This window comes from Homo sapiens, chromosome 1 (assembly GCF_000001405.40).
Source record: "Homo sapiens chromosome 1, GRCh38.p14 Primary Assembly".
Lineage (NCBI taxonomy): Eukaryota > Metazoa > Chordata > Mammalia > Primates > Hominidae > Homo > Homo sapiens.
The window spans coordinates 158,629,353-158,643,146 of NC_000001.11; the positions used below are offsets into that span (position 1 = coordinate 158,629,353).

Consider the following 13,794-nt stretch of genomic DNA (forward strand, 5'->3'; position numbering starts at 1 on the left):
TATCCCTGGGATGCAAGGATGGTTCAACATATGCAGATCAATAAATGTGATACAACACATTGACACAAAAAAAGATAGAACTAAATCATCATCTCAATAGATTCTGAAAAAAAATGGACAGAATTCAGCACTCTTTCATGATAAAAACCATCAACAAACTAAGAACAGAGGGATATTGCTTCAACGTGATAAAGTACATGTATGAAAAGCCCACAGCTAACATCATATTTAATGGTGAAACTAAAAGCTTTTCCTTTAAGTTTATGAACAAGGCAAAGATAATCGCTCTCACTATTTCTATTTAAGATAGTACTGGAAGTCCTAGTAAAAGGCATCTAAATAAGAAAGGAAGAAGTAAAATTTTCTTTGTTTGCAAGTGACATAATCTTAAATACAGAGAACTCTGAACACTCCATAAAAAACTGTTAGAACTAGTAAACCAATCAGCAAAGTTACAGAATAAAACTCAAAACATAAAAGTCGGTTTAGAAATTGTAAACAATAAACTATCTGAAAAAGAAATTAAGAAAATAATTCCTTTTACAATCACATCAAAAATAATAAAATATATAAAAATAAATGTAACCAAGGAGGTGAAAAGCTCATACACTGAAAACTACAAAACATTGATAAAAGAAATTAAAGAAGCCACAAACAAATGGAAAAATATTCTGTGTTCATGGATTAGAAGATTTAATATTGTTAAAATGTGAATACTACCCAAAGTGATGTACAAGGTCAATGAAATCCCTATTAAAATCCCAATGACATTTTTTACAGAAATAGAAAAATCAATTCTAAAATTTATATGGAATCAGAAAAGACCACAAATAGTCAAATCAATATTGACAAAGAAGAACAAAGCTGAAGGAATCACACTTCCTGATTTTAAAATACAGTAAAAAGCTACAATAATTAAGAGTATGGTACTGGCATAAAAACAGACATAGATGAATGAAACAGAATAGAGAGTCCAGAAATAAACCCATGTATATGTAGTTAACTGGTCTTTGACAAGGGTGCCAAAAATATACAATGGAGAATAGACAGCTTCTTTAACAAATAGTGCTGGGAAAACTGCTTTTCACTTGCAGAATAATGAAATAAGACCCTTATGCCATACCCAAGAATCAACTCAAAATTGTTTAAAGACTTAAATGTAAGTCTTGAAACTATAGAACTCCTGAAAGAAAAGGTAGGGTAAAATCTTCATGATACTGGTCTTGGCAATGATTACATAAATATGACACTAAAAGCACAGGCAACAAAAAGAAAAAATAAACAAATGGGAGTATATAAAGCTAAAACTTCTGCACAGCAAAGGAAACAATCAACAGAGTGAAAAGGCAGCCCACTGAATGAGAGTTAATACTTATAAATGATTTCCCTAATAAGGGGTTAATCTCTAAAATATATAAGGAACTAATATAACTCAATACTAAAAAGTAAATAAAAAATAAAAATAAAAGTAAAAAACCCCTAATAACTTGATTTAAAAATGGGCTAAAAACAAACATGAAAAAATGTTCAATATCACTAATTATCAGGGACGTGCAAATTAAAACCACAATGAGGTATCACCTTACTCCTGAAAGAATGGCCATATTAAAAAGTCAAAAAATAATAGATATCGGTGTGGATGTGGTAAACGGGACACTCTTACACTGCTGGTGAAAATGTAAACTAGTACAACCACTATAAAAAACAGTATGGAGATTCCTTAAAGAACTACCACTCAATTCAGTAATCCCACTACTGGGTATCTACCCAAAGGAAAAGAAGTCATTTATGAAAAAGACACATGCATACTTGTGTTTATAGCAGTACAATTTGCAATTGCAAAAATAACCAACCAACTTATTGCCCAATTAATGAGTAGATAAAGAAAATGTGGTATATATACATCATGGAATAGTACTCAGCCATGAAACAAAACAAAATAATGGCGTTTGCAGCGACCTGGATGGAGTTGGGGGGCCACTCTAAGTGAAGTAACTCAGGAATGGAAAACCAAATGTCTTACGTTCTCACTTATAAATAGGAGCTAAGCTATGAGGATTAAAAGGCATTAAAATGATACAATGGACTTAGAGGACTTGAGGGAAAGGGTGGGAAAGGGGTCAGGGATAAAAGACTACATATTGGATATAGTGCACACTGCTCGGGTGATAGGTGTACCAGAAATTTAGATATCACCACTAAAGAACTTATCCATATAACCAAAACCACCTGTACCTAAAAAAGTATTGAAATAAATAAATTTAAAAATAATAAAAATGAGCTAAGAAGTTTAATAGAAATTTCCCTAAAAAGGCATGTAAATGCCCCTCAGGTATATGAAAAGATGCTTCACATTATTAACCATTAGGAAAATGCAAATTAAACCATAATGAGATATCACTTCACACCTGTCAGGATGGCTATTAACAAAACATAAAAGGCCAGTGTTAGTGAAGATATGCAGAAATTGAAGCCCTTTCACATTCTTAGTGGGAATGCAAAATGGCACAGCTGTTATGGAAAACAACATGAATATTCTTGAAACATTTAAAATAAAACTACCTATCGTCCAGCAATTCTATTTCTGGGTATTTATCCAAAAGGATAAGGAAATAATGATTTCAATAAGATATTAGCATCCATATGTTCATTGCAGCATTATTAACAATAGCCAAGATATGGACACAACCTAAATGTCCATCAACAGATGAATGAATGAAAAAAATGTGGTATATTCATTCAATAAAATACCATTTATTCTTAAAAAATAAGAAAGTTATGCAACATTTAACAACATAGATGAACCTTGAGGACATTACGCTAAGCAAAATAAGCCAGTTATAGAAAGATACATGCTACATGATTCCACCTATATGAGGTAGACAAATTTATAAAATCAAAGAGTGGAATGTTAATTACCAGAGGCTGAGAAAAAAATTGAAGTTTTACTAACCATAAGGCATAAATTACAGTCAAGCAAGATGAAAACGCTCAAGAGCATTTCTATACAGCCTACAACATTGTACCTATAGTCAACAATAATATGTTATACACGTATAAATGTATTAAGAGAGTAGATCTCATGTTCAGTGTTTTTGTCACAATAAAACAAATCAAAATGAACAAACTAACAATTCAATTAGAAAATAGAGAGACATTTCACTGAGGAAAAATACAGATGTCAAATAAACACATGACAAAAAATGTAAAACATCATTATCCATTAAGGAAATGCACATATGAGCTACAATGAGGTATCACTATATATCTATGTGAATGACTAAAATAAAAGTAGTGACAACACAGAATGCTAGCAGGGATATAGGGAAACTGCAAACTGCATCATTTATGCATTGTTGTTAAGAGTGCAAAATGATATAGCCATACAAACAGGAAAGGAATTTGGCTTTTTTTTTTTTTTTGGTCCAAAACTAAATAGGCAGTTACTATATGGTTCAGTGATTGGGGTCCTGTACATTTATCCCAGAGAAATAGACTTATGTTTGCATTAAAATCTGTGCATGAATATTTATAGTGGCTTTTCTCATAGTCATCAAAAAGTGGAAACAGCCCAGACTCCCCTCAACAGGTGAGTGGTTCGACTGTGATATTCTTATACCACGACACTGCTCAGAAATAAGAAGGGATGAACTATTGTTACACACAATAACCAGAATTAATCACCAGAGTATGGTGCTGAGTGAAAAGGTCAATCTTCAAAAGTTACATACTATATGATTTCATTTGTATAGCAGCGTGGAAATGACAAACTTATAGAAATGTAGAACAGATTAGTGGTTGCCACAGTTTGAAGAGGCAGGAAGAGGAGGTGGCTATAAAAAAGCAACAGCAGTGATCCTTGTGATGATGCTAGCCTTCTGAATCTTAACTGAATCTTGACAATGTCAATATCCCATTTATGATATACTGCTTTTCTGGATGTTTCCATTAGAGAAAACTTGGTAAAGGACATGAGATCTGTCTGTGTTATTTCTTATAACTGCATGTGAATCTATAATTCTCAAAATAAAAAGTTCTGTTTTAATGCCTGTAATCCCAGCACTTTGGGAGGCTGAGGTGGGTGGATCACGAGGTCAGGAGATCGAAACCATCCTGGCTAACATGGTGAAACCCCTTGTCTACTAAAAATACAAAAAAATTAGCCTGGCGTGGTGGCAGCCGCCTGTAGTCCCAGCTACTCGGGAGGCTGAGGCAGGAGAATGGCATGAACCCGGGAGGCAGAGCTTGCAGTGAGCCAAGATCACTCCACTGCACTCCAGGCTGGGAGACAGAGTGAGACTCTGTCTCGAAAAAAAAAAAAAAAAAGAAAAGAAAAAAGAAAAAGTTCTGTTGTAAAGAAAGGGAAGCCTTTGAGAGCATTTGATAGGAAGCCTTAAAATGCTTGAACATGTGCAGTGGGGTGCACATGCATGATCCAAAAGACTTACAAATAAGATGAGCTGATAATTTGAATTATATGTTGTATAGGTTTAAGTTATCTTTTGCAAGTCTAAGCCTTTCCTTATGTCATCACATTAAAGTGAATTAATTTCTACAAAGAGTTCTTGGTAAATTCCCAATTTTTAGGGTTACTAGGCACAGTTTCCAAAGTCCTAATACATTCTTGTTTTGTAATCACTCTCAAAAGCCGTCAAAATTTACATTAACTCAAGATCACACTGATTAATTGTTCATTTCTTTATAGAGAAACCCAATCCTGCATTTAAAAGGATGTCTATAAATTGTGGAACTATTTTGTCCAGTAAGCCCTTCTTCCTAAAATTATATTTTGTTGAAACTGCAGCCAATGTCCAGACATAAGAAGATTTTTTTCCAAATCAATGTAACATGAAAATTCAAGGGAATCCTTTCAAAATCTATAATCTGCAAGGAATCTAACTTGTAAGGAAAGGTCTTTAACCATTATTTCTTTGACTCACAGACAGATCACAGATTATGGAATTAAGATTTGAGTCCTGCCTTCATGCCTGATTGGTTCCGTAATCTTGGGCAAGTCACTTACATGCTTGGACTTTAATTTTTCGTATTTAAAACTGTCAGGATTATTCGTATTTCCTTCATCTTCTTTCACCAGAAAAATGTCCTAATATTACAGGTAAAAACACTGACTACCCAAGAAAATAACCAAATTGAAGAGAAGAAAATTGATTCATTCTTCCTGTTCCTCACCTGAGTAGCAGCTAATGTATCTCCACAATCTCCTCGGACAGCCAAAGCATTCTTTTCATTGATCCAAGCTTCCTCTTCCTCAGCATTCTGCATGAATTGCAAGTATTCTAGGGATTCTTCCAACTTAAGTCCTCTATAACAAGGTGGCAAGCCCCAGTGAGGATAAGAACAAACTGGTAAGCAGTGGGAGTACAGTGGGGTGGCACAATCTCATTCAGGCAGACCAGCTTATTCTCACAAGGCAGCCACAGTTGAAGTGGGCCTCAACACAGTATAATAGGTGCCTACTGCTCAGTGGTGAAGATCTGCTGTGAAATGGAGGAGACGCCTGCTCTAGAAGTTCATTTTGTGGCACCATCTACTGTCTTAAGAAACTTTGCTGGAGGGAGGAAACCCACCCTAACCAAAAAAAGGGAAATGATGACTTCAGTGTTGGAGAATATCAGCAGTGACACAATGTCTCTTTCTACTCTGAGCACTGCCTTCTTTCGTATATGATGAAGACACCACGAAGTGCCAGAATCTTCCTTTTAGCCCCCCCCAGGAAAAATGGAACTACAGACAGAAATCGTTATATTTGGCTATATGTGTGATATGGTTTGGCTCCGTTTCCCCACCCAAATCTCATCTTGAACTGTAATCCCTATGTATCAGGGGAGGGGCCTGGTGGGAGGTGATTGGATCATGGGAGCAGATTTTCTCCTTACTGTTTTCATGATAGTGAGTGAGTTCTTGCAAGATCTGATGGTTTAAAAGTGTTTAGCACTCTCCCCGCCCCCGCCCGCTCCCTGCCTTGCTAAGATGTTCTTCTTTCTTTGCATTCTGCCATGATTGTAAGTTTCCTGAGGCCTCCCAGTCATGCTTCCTGTACAGCCTATGAAACTATGAGTGAATTAAACTTCTTTTCTTCATAAATACCCAGTCTCGGGTAGTTCTTTATATCAATGTGAGAACGGACTGATACATTGTGTATGTGGTTCAAATTGGCTATATGGCTATAGGGAAAAATAATTCTTCGTCCTTACATTACTAAGGGCTGATTATAATATGAAAACTGGGAGATAAAGCAGAACAGATGTGTGGCTAATAACCTGATATGAAGGATAACACATGTAGGAAAACAATAGTAAAAGACAGTTGCATGTAAATGCAGAAGGAGAGGTAGATTTAGAACAGAGGCAGTGATCATCGTGTCTGGGGTATATGGAGGAAAGCTTTGTGGTAAACTTGTCATTTGAGAAGGGACTTAAGGAGATAGATAGGTAGTTGGGGATAGCAGACAATGCTGAGCAGGCACTTAAGTATCCTCCCAACACCTGCCCAATATCCAAAATCCAGGAAGGGAACTGGGCCTTCTGTATCCCACTCACCGGGCCTTGGCCAACTCTTTGAGCTTCTCCCAGTGTTCAACAAACTGAGCCAGCCGCAACTGGATCTCCTCTTGCCCCACAGCAGCCTTGTCTTTCAGCTTCTCTGCCATATCCAGCACATTCTGAAGAACAACCCCGATACATGTTCCATTACCCCACAATCTCTCCCCATTTAGCCATAGTCCCTGAGCAAAGTATCTAGCCCATCCTACCCTCCAGATTATTTATAAACTCCACGGGACTTTGTGAGGGTCCTGAAAGTCCAGGGAGAATGATGAAAGCTGCAAGAAGATTTGCTATGCTAAACTTTCCCAAGTATTTGCAAATATATCAGTACTTGCACTAGTCTACTCTCCCTAATCTGCTTTTTCGTCTATTCATGGTCACAGAGTGACCCTGCTGCCAAGTCAGACCCAGAGTTGCCTTCTTCCCAGATGGCTCAAGTACAGTTTTCCCAGATGTCCCAACCTGCATCCCAATTGTCAATCATTCCCCAGGAGTGTTAAGAGTGCTCCTTCCAGGGAAGAGCATGGGTTCTTGTTCAGAACTCTTCTACTTATAGGAGACTAAATGTGGAAGAGAAAAGAATATTTGTAAACTCTTTGACTAACTCTCTCTGACCTTGACATCCTATTTTCACGTTTTGTAGCACCCTCTTATTTATCTGTAACACAAGGGGTTGCTATAGGATGATTTCTATATTTTCAGATCTGGTATTCTATTCCTACCTGGATGGCAGGCTCATGGGCCACCAGCTCCCCCTCTAGGCGTTTGTGCTTCTTCAGCAAGTTCTGAACCCCCTGAAGATCTCTCCCATAGTCCTGGGAGCTCACTCGTATCAACTTCTCCCTAAAATCAAGGAAGAAAACAGAAAGTTTGGAGTCTAGACATCTAATGTCATCCTACAGCAATAGCTTTCTATGACTATGTGTGTGGCTGGTGGTGAGGGAGGTGGTTGTAAATTCTGTAATACCCTGGTGCCAATGACCAAAAATATAATTAGTGGAAGAGGCTTGCAGCAAAACTTCTGACTGAGCCAATACAAATTAAAGTAACATACTGATCTCCACCATAGTCACAACTGTAACAGCCTTTCCATTAGTCCCTTTGCTTCTCCACTTGTATATCTTCTCTTTTTTGCTCAAGAATACACACTAATGTTTCCTATTTCAAAAAAATGTGAAAATTATATATGACCTCCACAGGTTTTGTTATTTTCATTTATTAATGTCAATAATAAATTCAGCTAGAATGGGTATAAAGAGCTGATTTCATAGGAGTCATGGCAGTTGGGATGCTTCCAAGTGCAAAAGGTTTGAGCATCACCACGAAGTACAGTCGAAGACTACATGGACAAGATTATTCTATCTTATGGTCTTATCCAAAAAGGTTTTTAAAACATGTTATTTGTTGCCCTGTGCATGGTGCTTCCCTCTAATTTATTGATTACTCATAATAATCAAGCAGCTTTGTAGAAGAGAAGCGTGATGAGGCAGGTTAAATGGGAAGTAGGCAAAATAGTGTAATGTGCTAAGATTTTCCAAATCATATTTTACAACAAAAATGGAATGAGTAATGAAACCTTGGTAGATACTTTGTAATATTCTCTATTGAGTGTCCAATTCAGTGTCATATAAGATATACTGGATATAGAATGACAAGGTTCTGACCAGCTGTGTAACCAAAAATGGAATGAGTAATGAAACCTTGGTAGATACTTTGTAATATTCTCTATTGAGTGTCCAATTCAGTGTCATATAAGATATACTGGATATAGAATGACAAGGTTCTGATCAGCTGTGTAAATGTCCAGGTGTCTCTGTGAGTATTGCATATTATTCAATGAACTACAGAGCAAATGCAGATGGCTTCTTAGTTTTGTTCCTGTCATGTATGTTAACTGCTCTTCACTTCCTCCACACCTGTCTTTCTCTGGCTTGCATCCAGTAAGGGAATTTGGGAAAAATAAAACCAATGTTAACCTTAAGCTGAGGCAAACATGAAGTAGTGCTATCTTCAAGAAACAAGTACAAATTTCATTTCAGCATAAATTGGAACAAGTTTGGTGGATTATCTACTCGCTTGTATTATCCACACATTTTTGAGCTGGTGGCACATACTCTATCCAGGATTCCTCATCATCTAGATCCTGGAAGAACTGGAACAAGGCATAGGCCTCTTTCAATTTTTCGTGGTGTGCAGCTGCCAATTCTTGGACATTCAGGAAACGCTTGTTGACATTATCTTTTTTCTTCACAATCTGATCAACGTTGAAAGTCCCGCTGGAGAGCAAATCTTCAGCCAATGTATTCAGGTCCTTGAGTGCATCCTAGAAAGTCTCGGGATACTCAGTGAATAGTATAGTATAGGCATTACTCAGATCCCACACTTTAACAACAGCTGGTCTGGCTCAAAGACTGGGCCAAATGGATTGCTTTTAAAGACATGGAGTTTGATTATGTGTTATACATGTTAGCATATGTTCAGGTTGGAGAAGGGCCATATGTGGGAGCGATAGAGGTAGCATGACTACATTACTCAAACTGTACATTTAGCCTGTGTCCTGTTTCTCCTTCTGATATTTTCAGTATTTGCCTTCTCTCCCCAACTAAAAAAGAAAACCAGCAAGGTGCGGTGGCTCATGCCTGTAATCCCAGCACTTTGAGAGGCCAAGGCGGTTGGATCAAGAAGTCAGGAGTTCAAGACCACTGTGGCCAACATGGTGAAACCCTGTCTGTACTAAAAACACAAAAATTAGCCGGGCATGCTGGCGTGTGCCTGTAATCTCAGCTACTTGGGAGGCTGAGGCAGGAGAATTGCTTGAGCTGGTACCAAAAAAAAAAAAAAAAAAAAAGGAAAATCTTGGCGGGCAATCATTCGTTCCCATACAAGACTGTCTTATACTGACTTTGATAGCCACAGATTGATTGATTTGACAGTACCAACTTTGGCAGCCACAGATTGATTGATTCAATATTCAACAAGAACTACTCTATGGGCAACATTCTTAGCTGCCCATTGAACACATCTATCTCTTCTGTGTCTACTCCTATTCTAACCCAGCCCCTTAGTGATGTCACAGGAAACATCACCAAGTCCCAAGGCCTTTGACTTCCTGCCTTTTCTGTGTGTATCTGTATTATCAAGTAAAATGATAATTATAAAATTCTTTAGTATAAAATTAACAACTGTCAGCATTTTTATCACTGCTCTCAGCACAAATTTTTGGTTGCTATTAGGATGCAACCAGAATCCTTGACAGGATTTCCAGAGTGTTTGTGTAGTTCATCTTCATTTCACATGCCCCCATCTGATTTTTTGTTTGTAATTCTATAAAGTAAACTTCCACTTTCTTTCAAATACCAGATCAAATATATAGCTTAAAGACAATTGGCTTATATGTATGCATCAGTAAAAGATAAAAAAGATAGTTTCCCAGGTCCACTTTCTGGAATCTTAAAGTCTATAGTTTAGGGATAATTGATTATCAGTGACAGTTTTAATGTCTTCACAGCCCGTTAATTTTACCTAATTAAAATGACTGCTGGTTGAGAACACTAAGAACAATTTTGCAAGGCTATGTTTTCAAATGGTCTCCTAACATGGGAGGGAGAAGAGCCAGAAATATTTCTATTCTGCCCAGAGGAGAGGGATGCCAACACTACTTACCTCTCGAGCCAACATCTCTCTCTCCAATAGCTGATGCTTCTTGAGTAGGTTTCCTGCTGAAGCCAAGTCCCTGGCCTGATCTTTCATGGCCAGCAATGTCTCTGCCTGGAAATAGAGAAATAAGCAATAAAGCTGCCAGGTGAAACTGCCTTTAAGGAGAATAAGATCAGCAGCTATGTCCCCAAACTTTTCCCAGGAAAATTCAAGGAAATTGCCCATGGGTAAATTCATTTGTCTGACAAGTATGTATTAAACTCTTGTGTCTCTACTGTTTCCGGGTGCAATTACCTCTGAGAGCCAGAACTCAAAGTCCCGGATGCTTGTGTTGAACCTCTGTTGACGACTGGCCTCATTGAGCTTCTTCCCTTTGTCATTTGTTCTCTCAAGCAGATGATCCCAATGTTCCTTCAGCTGTTCCAGTTGCTCCTAACCCAAGGAGAGTGAGGAGTCATTACAATCTTTAGGATCCCGGGCCCTGTGACTACTTGAGAGAATAATGTAGGAAGGCTGTGAAGGCAGGAACTAGCCAAAATTTGCTGATACTTGAATATCATACATTTCAAACCAGTTATACTTAATCTGGGAAAACAATAGGAGTTGTTGGACAAAAGAGAAAGTTTAAAAAAGGGTCCTGTGTTGAGTAAAGAGACTGACATACAAATGCCAAAAAACTATTGGCAGAAGGGATAGAAAATGTAAAACAAGCATGATAAGAGTTTGGAATTAAGCCGAAGCTTTCTTAGTGTTCCAGGTACTGAGTATGATGGGAGTGATAAGGTCTGGGCATCACTCCTTTTCTCCTTCTTTGTGCAACAATCAGAGGGAAGACTGTTTTTCTGTGATATGGTCACAGAACATATTTTATATTTCTACTCATGGAACATTAAAGTCTCAGGATACAAAATCAATGTGTAAAAATCACAAGCATTCTTATACACCAATAACAGACAAACAGAGAGCCAAATCATGAGTGAACTCCCATTCACAATTGCTTCAAAGAGAATAAAATACCTAGGAATCCACCTTACAAGGGATGTGAAGGACCTCTTCAAGGAGAACTACAAACCACTGCTCAATGAAATAAAAGAGGATACAAACAAATGGAAGAATATTCCATGCTCATGGGTAGGAAGAATCAATGGCCATACTGCCCAAGGTAATTTATAGATTCAAGGCCATTCCCATCAAGCTACCAATGACTTTCTTCACAGAATTGGAAAAAACTACTTTAAAGTTCATATGGAACCAAAAAAGAGCCTACATTGCCAAGTCAATCCTAAGGCAAAAGAACAAAGCTGGAGGCATCACGCTACCTGACTTCAAACTATACTACAAGGCTACAGTAACCAAAACAGCATGGTACTGGTACCAAAACAGAGATATAGACCAACGGAACAGAACAGAGCCCTCAGAAATAATGCTGCTTATCTACAACCATCTGATCTTTGACAAACCTGAGAAAAACAAGCAATGGGGAAAGGATTCCCTATTTAATAAATGGTGCTGGGAAAACTGGCTAGACATATGTAGAAAGCTGAAACTGGATCCTTTCCTTAAACCTTATACAAAAATTAATTCAAGATGGATTAAAGACTTAAATGTTAGACCTAAAACCATAAAAACCCTAGAAGAAAACCTAGGCAATACCATTCAGGACATAGGCATGGGCAAGGACTTCATGTCTAAAACACCAAAAGCAATGGCAACAAAAGCCAAAATTGACAAATGGGATCTAATTAAACTAAAGAGCTTCTGCACAGCAAAAGAAACTACCATCAGAGTGAAGAGGCAACCTACAGAATGGGAGAAAATGTTTGCAATCCACTCATCTGACAAAGGGCTAATATCCAGAATCTACAATGAACTCCAACACATTTACAAGAAAAAAACAAACAACCCCATCAACAAGTAGGTGAAGGATATGAATAGACACTTCTCAAAAGAAGACATTTATGCAGCCAAAAGACACATGAAAAAATGCTCATCATCACTGGTCATCAGAGAAATGCAAATCAAAACCACAATGAGATACCATCTCACACCAGTTAGAATGGTGATCATTAAAAAGTCAGGAAACAACAGGTGCTGGAGAGGATGTGGAGAAATAGGAACACTTTTACACTGCTGGTGGGACTGTAAACTGGTTCAACCATTGGGGAAGACAGTGTGGCAATTCCTCAGGGATCCAGAACTAGAAACACCATTTGACCCAGCCTTCCCATTTCTGGGTATATACCCAAAGGATTATAAATCATGCTGCTATAAAGACACATGCACACATATGTTTATTGCGGCACTATTCACAATAGCAAAGATTTGGAACCAACCCAAATGTCCCACAATGGTAGACTGGATTAAGAAAATGTGGCACATATACACCATGGAATTCTATACAGCCATAAAAATGATGAGTTCATGTCCTTTGTAGGGACATGGATGAAACTGGAAACCATCATTCTCAGCAAAGTATCACAAGGACAAAAAACCAAACACCGCATGTTTTCACTCATAGGTGGGAACTGAACAATGAGAACACATGGACACAGGAATGGGAACATCACACACCAGGGACTGTTGTGGGGTGGGGGGAGGAGGGAGGGATAGCATTAGGAGATATACCTAATGCTAAATGACAAGTTAATGGGTGCAGCACACCAACATGGCACATGTATACATATGTAACAAACCTGCACATTGTGCACATGTACCCTAAAACTTAAAGTATAATAATAATAAAATTAAAAAAAATACAATAAATTAAAAAAAAAGAAAGAGTAAATGATTCCTCTTCATGTGACTTTGTAGCCCAAAACTCATCCTGAGCTTTACCTTCATGGCCTCTTCATTGCCATCACAAGCGCTACACTCAATCAGGGAGTTCCCCAGGTTGATGACGCCATGCACCTGCTCAGATCGGCCATCGACTTCATGTGCAAAGGTCTGGTGTTTCAGGTATTTCCTCTGAAGGGAAAATGAAACAGAAATTATATTATCTTTTTATTTATGGTGACAAGATAAGGTAAATTGTATTTAAAAGGAAGGGCTAATATTTCTATCATAACTGAGGTGACGGTGACTTCTGAAGAACCTGCTCCACATCAGACTCTGAAGTCTCTGAGAGCAGGCATGGTAGCCTCAACAGTCAGAAAGTGTTAAAGTATCAAGGGTGATGACTATCCAACCAACAAGCTCGGAATGGTGAAATTTTCCAAGATTCCTATTTTGAACTTGCCTGAATGTTAGTGGCGTCTTTGTAGGATTCATCACAGGCTGTGGGCAGCATCTCACTGATCCATTCTTCCAGCTCCTCAAGGTCTCGGTAGAATTGTTTTAGGTTGGCATAGTCTCCAAGCTTTGTCCGCTCATCAATCAGTTGTGCTTTGAGAGCCTTCCACCTAGAGGACGGAGCCAAATCACTCTATGCCCTCCTCCACCCTTCCCATGCTCTGATGCCATATCCATAAATCTTCCCATTTGCCAACATGCCTCTTTTCTTCTCACATAGTCTTATTATTTTCATTATAAAATGCAGTGCTAAAGCCAGTTAATTTCTAAGGTATCTTTC

At 38.0% G+C, this 13,794-nt stretch overlaps 1 protein-coding gene across 7 annotated transcripts in view; it reads right to left on the minus strand.

Moving 5' to 3' along the window:
* Positions 1 to 13,794, minus strand: part of SPTA1 (spectrin alpha, erythrocytic 1) — a 76,012-nt gene that overhangs the window by 18,649 nt on the left and 43,569 nt on the right. For 6 of the 7 annotated variants that reach the window (XR_921911.4, XM_011509916.3, XM_047428883.1 and 3 more), the window contains 8 exons: positions 13,462 to 13,624; positions 13,059 to 13,190; positions 10,518 to 10,655; positions 10,230 to 10,334; positions 8,681 to 8,889; positions 7,289 to 7,409; positions 6,561 to 6,682; positions 5,191 to 5,323 (listed from right to left, as the gene is read on the minus strand). Coding sequence is in view for 6 of the 7 variants with exons in the window: in XM_011509916.3 (XP_011508218.1) it covers positions 5,191 to 5,323; positions 6,561 to 6,682; positions 7,289 to 7,409; positions 8,681 to 8,889; positions 10,230 to 10,334; positions 10,518 to 10,655; positions 13,059 to 13,190; positions 13,462 to 13,624 (1,123 nt within the window). In the remaining variant the exon portion in view is untranslated. Of the gene's footprint in view, positions 1 to 5,190; positions 5,324 to 6,560; positions 6,683 to 7,288; positions 7,410 to 8,680; positions 8,890 to 10,229; positions 10,335 to 10,517; positions 10,656 to 13,058; positions 13,191 to 13,461; positions 13,625 to 13,794 lie in introns of those variants that run through there. The other variant, XM_011509919.4, reaches the window with a different exon arrangement.